The sequence below is a fragment of the Homo sapiens genome, chromosome 5 (genome assembly GCF_000001405.40).
Source record: "Homo sapiens chromosome 5, GRCh38.p14 Primary Assembly".
Lineage (NCBI taxonomy): Eukaryota > Metazoa > Chordata > Mammalia > Primates > Hominidae > Homo > Homo sapiens.
Genome location: NC_000005.10, coordinates 52,804,720 through 52,817,023, shown reverse-complemented (window position 1 = coordinate 52,817,023; position 12,304 = coordinate 52,804,720). Strand labels below are relative to the sequence as shown.

Sequence of the window (12,304 nt, the reverse complement as noted above, 5' to 3'; positions counted from 1 at the left end):
AACTGACAAAGTTTATCACTCCCAGTGCTTCCATCTCTTTTGCTTTTAGGGTGCCAATTCTGTTAAGGCAAAGGAATCCAGCTGCTAGGTGATACCACTTGAAAATATTACTGCAAAGAAAACCCCCACCTGTTGTAGCTAGTCATAATACAGACAGACTTTTATTATTTTCCCTGTGTTTCTGAATAAAAGTGAAAAGGCCTGGAGGGGAATATACTCACTACTCTCCAGAAATAGCGGAGTGTTAGAAAAGAGCTCTGCTATCTTCCTGAGAAGGTTATACCTCAGGAATTCTGGGAGGAGGTGTGCCAGGCAATGGGCCCTGAGACCTGCTCCAACCCTCTGGATATGGCCACATGGTCCTTCGTTGGTAACCAGGACCCCAATCTCTAAGAGAGGTATGGCCAGAATAGCTAATGGTGGACCTATTCCACACTCCTTCAGCCTGTGAGTGAGCTCTTAACTAACAAAATGTCCATTCAGTAGCCCCCAGCCTCCCTATCCCTCCCTAAGAATGAAAATTTCTAGTGTGTTTATGTGGGTTGGGGCAATAGGAAGACTTCATGCCATGGCTGGGAACAATTGTTTTTAGATTCATAAAAATAAACACTAACTTCACGGTTTAAACCTGTGACTGTGAGTGGCTAACATTGAACTATCTCTAAAAGATCGTTAATTTTCATCTTTCTCATAAAGAAATGATCTTTATTTGAAAACAAGAATATTTGTTTTATTTCTGCTGGCATATTGGTTTCCTTTCTGAATTTAAAATATGCTCGATGTGCATGGATATATATTAAGTCCCAAAAAGATTAAGTTTAAATTTAGCATATAAAATAGGTAAAATGTTTGGAGCATTACTCTGGACCAGGCATTATAAAAAGTGTTAATAATCTCAATCAATTAAAAAAACACAATAGGTTGTAACTTAGTTTGCAGGTGAGGAAACTTCAGTAAGTCACCTCAATAATCAGTGTTAGATATTAGACTCAGGTGGTGTAATTCCACAGCCTTTCCCCTTAGCCACTACTTACTACTGTCTCCCTGCTGTATGTTATTCATGTCATCAAGGAGTTTTTGTGACTTAGTTTTTGTTTAGTTATACATTTTAAATTAAGCTACCTTAATTTATTAAGATTATAAACTCAGCTGTAGTTATTTATTACTAATTTTATTTTCTAAGAGAATCTCACATTATCAAATTGCATCACAACCCAACTACTATTACTGTAAGTATGTCTTACAATTAGGCACCTTCTTGAAGTAACATTATTTTAAGACATAAGAATCATCTGGAAAAGATGATTGCTAAGTAGACATTCATTGATATTCAAGGCTATTGTTGAAAGCCTTAGACCAGTGTTTTCCAAACATAGGGAAGGAGATCCCTATTCCATTTTTTGGAATGGAGCCCTTCTCCATTCTTCCAACAGAGGCTCCAGAACTAGAGCCAAGACCAATCCTGGGAAGGAATACATTCACCAGGCTCCTCCCAACATCTACCCAGGCAAAGATCTCTCCTGCCCAAGCCAGTCATGACCAGGGGAGTAGGAAAGTTGAATATCAGGATGTAGGGTTGCTAGATACTCAGTTACATTTGAATTTCAGATAAACAGCAAGTAAATTTTTAGAATAAGTATGTCCCATTCACTATTTTGAATGTTTTATAATAAGTATGTCTCCTCTACTGTTTTCCCCCATCCCAGGCTCCCAAAACCTAGCAACCCTAGGAAAGTAGGAGAGAAACACTGGCTATATTTTTATATTTTTAACTTTGGCTCACCTCCAAATTTATATTTTACTTTAGGAGAGTAAAAACCGTGGTGGATCTTGTTTTTTTGATTAAATGTTTTTGGCCTACCCTGCTTAGCATTTGGTGCCCAGCAGGAAATCTGGATATATTTGCTAGCTGATTTTTCTCCTCCTCTTCCATACTTGAAGTTTGACAGCTGGATTGGAAAACAATGTTTAGGCTAAAGACAAGTGTGTGTTGGGAGTGGGGAAGTACATCATCATTTTCCTCTTTCCTGACTTCCATTTCATTCTAGAACCAAATGTCAGCTAAGGAAAAGCACAGATAAGAGATATAAGTGGCCTGAGGTAACCCCAGGAAGCCCTGGGTCTGTAGAAACTGAGTTTCCGTACTTTCGTGATGCATCAGGACTAATATCAAATTCCTGGCTGAAATTTTCCTAGGCTGAAAATTTAGAGACTGATAAACTTGTAGTATTTAAATGAGCCATTTAAAATCTACCAATTGGACTGATTCTTTTTCTTTCCCCCCCTTTTTTTTTAATACCTCTCAGAAGGTGCAGAGGACTAATTCTCTCTGATTGTTGGGCAGATACCTGTTCAAATATCAGGAGCTTATGAGCAAACTGAAGCCAGGTTTAAGGTAATTTATTCAGAAAAAAAAGTCAGATAAAAGGAAAAATAATTTTGTATTACTCAACTAATTTATATGATTACGTAATTTATAGGATTGTGCTTTTTTCTAAGCAGATATGAAGCCTGAAAGGGATGCACTTTGTTTTCCTAACAAATTGGCATCTCTGATGAGGAACAGTAAGTGTTAAAAACTCATTGTGGGCTCGCACAGTGCTCACACCTGTAATCCCAGCACTTTGGGAGCCTGGGGTAGGCAGATCACCTGAGGTTAGAAGTTTGAGACCAGCCTGGTCAACATGGCGAAAACCCGCCTATACAAAAATTAGCTGGGTGAGGGGTTGCATGCCTGTGGTCCCAGCCACTTGGGAGGCTAAGGAACAAGAATCGCTTGAACCCAGGATGCTGAGGTTGCAGTGAGCTGAGATCGCGCCACTGCACTCCAGCCTGGGTGACAGAGCGAGACTCTGTCTCAAAATCAAACAAACAAACCAAAAAACAACTCATTGTGAATTAAATCCTGAGACTAAAAAGAAGTGAAATCAGTCCAACAGGGCTACATAAAACAGTGATATGTCATCAGGATCTGGAGTCCTGCCAGTCCAGGCTCAGCATGACCATTGTTTCTTCCAGCAAGTGGCTGAGCTGGGATTTGAACAATGCCAGTCTGACTGCAAGGTACTAATAACAGCACAGTCTACCAGTTCCCCTAATACCAATGCAATGGCTGGCTTTGCAAGGTATTTGGTAAATGTTAGTTCTCTTACTTCAACTTCTTTAAAATGGTTAGTGAATATTTTCTTTTGTTTTGGCTACCTAGAATCCACAAATTCCTCCTGGTTGGGGAAGGTACATAGGAGATGTGAATGAGAGGAGGAGATGTAGGCATATAGAATAGTCCGTTATCCTGCTCCTGGTTCATAGAATGTGGGCATGTGACCTTTCAATAGCCAATCTGATTTTCACACTCAGAGATTATTCTCAGAAGCTCTGGTTGAGTCTCTCAGAAGCCCCAGTGTATTGGTGATGGTTGTCTGGGGGTGGCTATTCCATCAGCTGCATTGCCTTACACAGGTGATTTCTATAGCAGGGTTCTGACTGTGCCTCCCCTCTTTGTTCCTATCTGAGCCTCTTTGCCTTCTTCCAGAAAATTTCTTCATTTCTTGTATTATCAGACTTGGTTCCTGTTGTTTGCAAGTAACTGAGAAATAGTAAGATAATTGTAGTCTGTTTATGACTTATATATGGCTGAAACACCCAGGCTGAGCAGTTAAGGAGATTCAAATCATAATTAACAGGTACCATAGGAAGTAAGATGATTAAATGGAGGCAAAGACAATACCTAACATCTAACCTAATAGCTAATATTAATTTTACTTGATTGGAAGTTTAATGAGGGTCATGGCTGCTATAGAACCAGTTTCAGGGATGAGTTTCTGTGGTTTCCATAAGCAGAGTCAGGACCTCCCAGCATTCTGTGTGCACTCAGTGGTATCCTTGAAGAGGTTACTATTCCTGGCATGAACATTACAATTGAAATGTGCTCTTCTGTACTCCTCTTCATTTGTGTGTAAAACTCACAAAAGTGGGTCTTTCATCAAATTTAAAGAAATAAAAATATTATAAAGACAGAGAACCAGCTGGGTAGCCTGTCTCATGTTGAGGGTAACTCTGGACTGAGTGGGTCCACTTGTTCTGGTTTGAACACAATCTCTGACAGACAGCTTTGGTAGAGAGAGATTTATGTTAGGAACAGGCATGAGGCAGATCTTCTGCATCATATTTCCATGGCTGATCTGTTGCCCAAGTGGTGTATTTGGCAAAAAAAAAAAAAAAAAAAAAAAAAAAAGCGATAAGAAGGAACAAAATGAACTTAAATTGCGCTCTTAGGAATTTTCAGATATTTTGCTTACATCATATCATTTATTCCTTGCAACTCTATGAGAGCAGTTTTATCATTTTTTCCATTTTACAAATTGAAGCTCACAAAGCTAAGTTTGAGAATCATAAAGGTAACATTACTTGCTCAAGGTCACAGAGCTCACCTGTGGGAGATCCAAGATTTTCTAGTCCAGAGCTAATGTCCTTACCTACCGGATAAGTGAAAAACATTCAAAGGGTGCCCAGATCCAAGTACCATCTCCTGAGGTGATTCTAGCCAATTGTAATGTCTTCCTGTTCTCAGTGATATTAGCTTTTAATTTCTGTAACATGTGTGATTTTTGTGTCTTGTTTTACACAATCCTTGCACCCCAAAATGATTATAAGCTTCAAGAAGTGGGTGGGATCTGGGTTCTCTACCTTTCTGTAGGCCCCCTCCCATTGTATTTAGCAACACATATGCATGTAAATGGCATCAATAAATATTCACAAATTGATCGGTTTTGGTACTAATTGTGAATTTATGATAGTAATTTAAAAATACATAAATGTATAGACAAATCCCACAGTGAGGCATTAAAGCTAAAGAAATACATTCCCCTCAACTTTATAAAGTTGCCTTTTCAGAATGTCTATGTTCATCTCTTTTCTTAACCAGAGAGCTGATTGGTATTGTGGTCACAGGACACATTAAAGCTAATAGTCCTACTCAGTGATGACACTCCTGGTTTAACCTGGCTGCAGATAAGAAGCACCTGAGGAGCTTTTAAAATGTACAGATGCCTGGGCTCCTTTCCCAAATATTCTGACTTAGTTGAGGTAGGGCTCAGGCATCACCATGATTTTAAAACTCCCTAGGTGATTGGTGCCGCCTGGTTTGAGAAACCTCTAGCCAAATGGAAAGAGCATTCCAGTAAAAATTAAGACCTGTTTTTTCTCATTGCCTATTTCTTTGGGAGAGTGAGCAAAGTTGATAGAAGAGGAAAATAACAAGAAGAAAAGTGGCAGGACCCTGCAACTTGACATGCCATTGAAATGTGGCAAACTATTAAAAAATATTTGTAAACCTCAAGATTTTCATGCACGTATTTACAGAGTGGTTCAAACAATTGTCCTACCACCCTATATTCAAGTTTAAAGTCCCCCAACAACTTTAAAAATAGGGGAGTGTTTGGCAAAGCATTCCAAATAAATGACCCTCAGCTCTGGAATTTGCTCCTTCTAGCAGGCTGCTCTCCTTAGTAGTCAGCCAAACCCCAAATCTGGCAGCTTTTAAAATAGGGTGCAAAAAAGATTCTTTTTAAACCTGAGAGTCACTAAAGATTTATTTTACTGGAAAGACATGATCGCAAAAATAACAAGCAATTATTGTTACTGCACCAAGTAGAATCAGATATCTGCAAGAGAGATTATGAAGTCAAGAGCCACCCTTCTTTGCTCATTCTGCAGATGAAGAAACCAACTCTCAAAAAGATGAAATTATTTCCTCAAGTCACACAACCTAGTGGCAGGGCCTGGTGTCATGAGTCATGGGCCAGTTCTTACACCATATCCTCTGAGAATGACATGGATGATTTCTTCCTTGTATCATACTTGGTTATTCACAAATGCAATGTTCTTGCAAATGTTAATATTATAATCTTTGGTAACTGTAGCAAATAATCGTTGAATTATTTTGTAATTTTTGGTGTGCAACATCCTTTGCAAAGTCCTAAATTTCATACAGATGTGAAAGCTGGTTGCGCTACTTTATTGATCCTCACAATTAAAATTTCTAATTCATCCAGAAGAACATATGTGAATCTGTATGAAATACATATCTAAGAATTTTAAATTTACAATGAACCATTATAAAAAGGCCTTGACCTTCTCCACATTTCCTACCTACTTGCCCGTTTCCCATTATATTTTACTCTGACCTAGGGAAAGTACAGGATCAGAGATAAAGGTGAAAATGATTCCCAGAAAGACAGGAAAAATTTGAACTTATTAAGCTCTATTAAGTTTTAGATAAGGAGTTAGGCCCAGAGTGAGAAATTTACTGTGGTGATAACAGACTCATTCTCTTGAAAACCTACTAGTGTATTTAATGAGGCAGATAGTGAATTTTGCATCAGTCTTCGCACTTTCCCACATTCCACATGCTATCCCATTTTCTTCCAGTTCAGGCTGAGAACACACTGACACACAAAGGGTCAGAGAACTATTCCCAGAGTTCATTCCTCCTCATAAAATAGATTGTGGTTTTTTTCTCCCTTCTGCAGAAAATGTTCTTTCCTTCTACCATATCCAATCCATGTTGGCCATTTAGTAAAATGAACAACTTAAGAGAGAAGTTATTTTTGTTTGTTAAAGGTGTTTTCCTGAGTTTTACAACGAAAGATAAAATGTTGAATATAAAAATAGAAAAGACCCCGGTGGGTCTTTCTAGTGTCCAGCCCCAGGGCCTTCCCCAGGCCCCAGCTAGCTCCTTGTCACTTCTTTATTCCTGACTTCAGTCCCCAGGGGTCAGTTTCCCTTTCCCTGAGGTGGCTGTGCCACCAACCAGTTAATCCTGGACATTCTTTCTTCCAGGAATGGCTATGGAAAGGGACAGAATGTCTCAAACTCCCCTGTCACCATCCCCATCTTTGCTGTCCTAAAAACGAAAGAAGCTAAGCTTCCTTTTCTGGTTTAACCAGTCAGTGCTTAGTCATGTAAGAAATGCAGAGGAGACAACAAAAACATGGATACTATTATACAAAGGTTCCACAATCTTTCAGAGTCCTTTCAGTCATGGTCCCTGGTCTGTATTTGATTTTCATTTTCTTATGAGGGTAGGAGGTAATGGAATCTCCTTCTCCATGATGTCTCCTCTCAGGTTTGTTGACTCCACAGTAAATATTTAACATTTAGAGAGATCAGGGATTACAGAGACCACTCTGTAGAAGAAAAATATTACCAAAGTGAAGTTGAGGCCAGGTGCAGTGACTCACGCCTGTAATCCCACTTGGGGAGGACAAGATGGGCAGATCACTTGAGGTCAGGAGTTTGAGACCAACCTGGCCAACATGGTGAAACCCCGTCTCTACTAAAAATATGACAATTAGCTGGGTGTGGTGGCACGCACCTGTAATCCCCAGCTACTGGGGAGGGTGAGGCACGAGAATTGCTTGAACCCAGGAGGCAGAGGGGCAGTGAGCCAAGATCAGGCCACTGCACTCCAGCCTGGGGTATAGAGCAAGACTCTTGTCTCCAAAAAAAAAAAAAAAAAAAGTAAAGTTGAGAGGCCTTAAAAGAGGAATAATCTCAGGTCCCTTCACCTGATCTCTCTAGAAACTAATGGAAGATCAGTGTGGGCTTCTGGAACTTGCCAGTTTAAACTCTGGGAATACCTCCTCACTAAAGCCAGGCTGAGTTAGCCCTCTGAGCTCCCATGTTCCTGTGCCAGATTGCACTGCTATTACTACTGCTTTACCATTCGTTCCCCATTGTAGACTGTGTTTTTTTGCAAGGAAGAGACTGTGATCTTTCTTTACTTCTGATCACTGGGGGCTATTAGAGTCCCTGTCACATAGTAGGTACTTAGTACATGATTTTCAGAAAAATGAAATGGTTCTCAGAAGAAGAAAGGCAGGAAGAGTTCCCTATAGGGAAATATAAATACTCCTCCAAGGAATGAACAAGACTTCAAAACTGAGTTTGAGTCTCAGCAATGCTGCTCAGAGAAAAACTGCCTTGCCACAAGATGATAATTTGATAAATAAGGAGGGTTTAAGGCATTTTTGAATCCTGCATTGTTCCTTGTTCCTCTACCCCAAATGACTCAATATGAATAGGTGACAAAAAGTAGGTGACATTGGAATCAGATATATCAAACAGGAATGTGGACCCTGTGAAAAACTCCTATTGTGTTTGAGCAAGTTACCAACCCTCTCTGGGCTGGCTTAAATCTGTAACATGAAGGAACTAGGTCCGATGATATATAAAGTTCCTTACAGCTTTAACCTCTTATGATTTTAAGTGATTCAGAGCCATGTACTGAAATGTATTTTAAGCTTCCTCTTCAAACTCATCAAACAAAAAAAAAAAAAAAAAAAAAGAAAGAAAGAAAGAAAAAGAAAAAAAGAATTATACCATAGTCAACAACACACTTGGGGAGGAAAAATAAACTATAAATTATGGTCATCAGATCAAATGAGCTGAAACACAAGATTAAAATGTTTTCTATCCACAGAGCAATTTTTCACAATGGTGTCAAACAAAAAGTTCTAGTCAATGTTTACACTAGGACTTGATGAAAAATTCCAGACATAAAACTTCTGGAACGTAGACTTGAACTCAGAAGGACCTCCTATCTCTGAATAAATTGTACAACTAAAATCTATTGGGATTTTTTTCCTTAACAAAAATTCATCCTTCAACAATTATTTGAGTTTTATTACTGAGACTATTAAGGCATAGTAAAACTCTGGTTATCTGGAACAGTCATTCTAGGTATGACAGCTAAAGATTTTTTAAAGTACCACTATTTTTGGATGAAAATCATTGAAAGACATTACATTTATTTGACTTCTTTAACAGAATACACTGAATGTAATTTAATCTTTTCCTCAGTGTGAATACCAGGTACTGGTATTGTCCTCAGTAACATCCTCAAGTCCCAGTGAAATACTCTATAATACTCTAGGCTTTTTTTCTTTTGACAGTGTTTCAGAATCCACTCCCACTATCAGCTGTCACTTTTAACTGCTGTCAATTCTGTCAACTTGGCCACTTGTGGTCATCTCCTGCTGATATCTAATTTCTAGATTAAAGGCAGGGAAAACTGTCTTAATTCATCCTTGCATACCCAGGGGTAGCATAGTTCTAGCTACTTAAGGTGAGTCATTAAAAAAAAGTTTATTGTAATAGTGCATGACTTAATTGTAGGTTTAAAATTAAGCAACAAAAAAAGCTTGCTGAAACTAGGTGTGAAATAACAATAAATGAATGCTGGATAGTGCTTGAGGGGATTGCTTTAATACATAGATTTGCCACATTTTCTCTGCTTTCTAATTCTCCACTATGATCCAGGTAGATTAGAGGACCACAGAATTGAGTTCCTGATTTTTCATAAGATGACAAAATAATAGAATAAAAACATTAAAAATGATTGCATAAACTTTGGCTGATTATATAAAATTTAGTGTCATCAAATAATTTATTTTTATTTTTAGATACATGTTTGCCTACTCCAAACTGAAAGCTGAGAAGAACTGGCATTCTTAGATTTTTTAGGGTGATAGCTGAGGGAGCACCTCATCACACCCACTAACTGTTATTTTGGATAAATTATTTAATCTTCTTTAATTTCATTTTTTTTGCATCAGAAAATAGTAATGACAAAACCCTTCTGACTGGGTTCTTGAAAGACTAATGCATTTTAAAGCACTTACCATAAGACCTGACACTTAATAAGCACACAGTTACTTTTGTTATAACAGGTTGTCCATTCCTGGAGTGGGGACAGTGGTACCAACCCTGGGCAAAGCCAGGCAATATGACTGCCAAAACATTTTGCTCTTGAATTTGCTACTTGGCAAATACTGCTCTTGCCTCAGTATTGGGTGTTTTGAAAACAAATGTGGCACCCAAATAGAAATAAGCTTTAAATTCCTTAAATCTCTGACATTATAGAAAACAGGCACTTCCATTGAACTAACATTCTAAAGAATGGGGTTTTAATGTAGGCAATTTTAGGAAATAAAGAAAGGAAATTTAAAAGAAGACTGATATCCAAGTCTCCACAATTTATCATAAATGTTATCATCCTTAGCACTGAAATCTGAAAATTTAAGACCTTCCCATATCAATGTCAATTATTATAGAGTTAAAATATTCATTGTAAAAAGCAAACACTGTAGCCTCAAATTTGTATGCAACTATAATACTACACACAAAGGTGTTTGTCCTTACAGAAACTCATTCATTTCTCAATTTAAATTAAAACATTCATAATATTCCAATTTATTAATCAGTGTTATTTATCTCAACACAATATAATAACATGTTACTGAAAATAGAGATATTAAATACTGCAAAATAGTTATTTTACAGATTATTCTTGGAAATTTAGAAATAATAGTGTAACATGTGGATGAGAATACAGATGGTGATATATATCACACACTTCCTAAAAAGGACTAATTCTTACTATATAAAGAAAAACAATGAATGAGACTTTATCATCGCCACTGAAGAAGGTATCTCCATTAATAAATACCTTCTCCCAATGTTTTTGAATGGTATTTTTAACCTAAATAAATATCTCTTTACTGAACTTGGTCAATTTTTTTATTTCTACGTGAAGTTTACTACTTGATGACCATATTTAGCAACTCCTGATTGTTCTCCTTGTTAAATCCAAGACTACTAATACAGGTTTTATTTTCTAACAGCTTCATTAGCTGCATTTTTAACTTCTAAATCTTTTCCTAAAAAGGCATAATTGATTCACAAAAATATTATAATTGCATCCTAGATCCTTTATAAATCATGTTGGCTGTGTGTAACACTTTTACACTAAATTTCTAAATCAATTCAATTCATGAGAGATACATATAATACATTAGGAAAATCTTGAAGAGCACTTTTCTAAAATACTGAATCTCTTAGAGTATATAAACTGAATCACACCACAAAGTTTAAATATGCTGACATCCATTGGAAGAAAATTATTTTACTGAGCATTTTACCAACTTTATTGGAATTAATTGTTCTTTCTTAAGTTGCTCTTCAGCTCTTCACTTTAGTTGTGCTTCACTGCTGGAGAATTCATTTACTTAAACATGATATACCAGCAAAATTGTGTGCTGGTCAAAATCAATTTTTGAAACAAATTATTTTCAAATCATTAAGAAAGATGTAAATCCAACTGCAAAATTGATGCCACAGTTCAGACTCTTGTGGTTCCTCACGGAATAAAAGGGGAAGTGTATCTCTGATTTGTCTGGTGAGACAAATCAGAGATACTATGTTAAGATGGGGAGCACAAGGCCATGGGGTCCGCTAGCAGTAACTGATTGGCCTGAATGAGATATAGCTTGCTAATTCCTGCACTATGGGAATCCTGAAAAAATCTTTTAGTAAATTTAACCACCACTGCATAAAACATTTTTTTTTAATTACCATTTTTAAAGTTACATTTTGTGTCATCATCTCTCCCACCACTCAAGAAATCTGAGATTTACCTTTGGATTCTACTTTTTTCCATAACTCTAAACAGCAATCTGCAGTCATGTCCTTTTGATCCCATCTCTTAATATTTCCTGTTGACTTCTGTTCATTCCTATTGCAAGGAACATTATTGCTGCCTTTGATAAGGCCATTATCATTTTTCTCTCATATCTTCCTAATATGCATTTTTTTAACCAGTCTTCCTGCCTCCAGTCTTGCCTCCTCCAATCGATCCTTGATGCTGCCAAAGTGGTATTTGTGAAATGCAGTTTAGCATGCTGCTTCAGCTTTGTAATTGTTTCTCCTAATGGTCAAACCCAAACTCCTTCTTGTAGCACGGAGGTTCTTAGGTGATTAGCACACTTCCCCTCCCCATCTTCCCACTTAATTTCTCCATATTTCTTCTTCCCCTTTTAGGTAAACTTACTGGTCCTTGCTCTATAAAGTTTCTCCTAAAAGTCACCCCTTTCACCACTGTGTCCTTTTACACACTTTGTACAAGTTACTTCTAACAGTGATTTGCTTACATGTTTGTCCTCCCCACATCTAGCCCAGTGATTGGTTCAAAAAAGGCACTAAAAAAATGGATAAAATTAAATATATTACTCTTAATGATTAGTGTAATATAAATATTTACACCCCATATCTAAGTTCTGGCTCTAAGCAAAAGGGTTCATCTCTCCTCAAGCCCTTAAAATCACTTTAGAAACTCTTCAACTTCTAATTCAACATATTCTGACACTAAACACAAATAGCCAGTCTTAACTTGCTTGGAAAACCACATGGTTTAAATGTACTATAACCCTTTCCCAAATAAGAGCTGCTATTATGAGGCATTAAT

General features: G+C 37.4%; 1 protein-coding gene across 1 annotated transcript in view; it reads right to left on the bottom strand.

Moving 5' to 3' along the window:
* The window catches only part of ITGA1 (integrin subunit alpha 1), a 171,294-nt gene that overhangs the window by 142,186 nt on the left and 16,804 nt on the right, over positions 1-12,304 (bottom strand). The window lies entirely within an intron of this gene.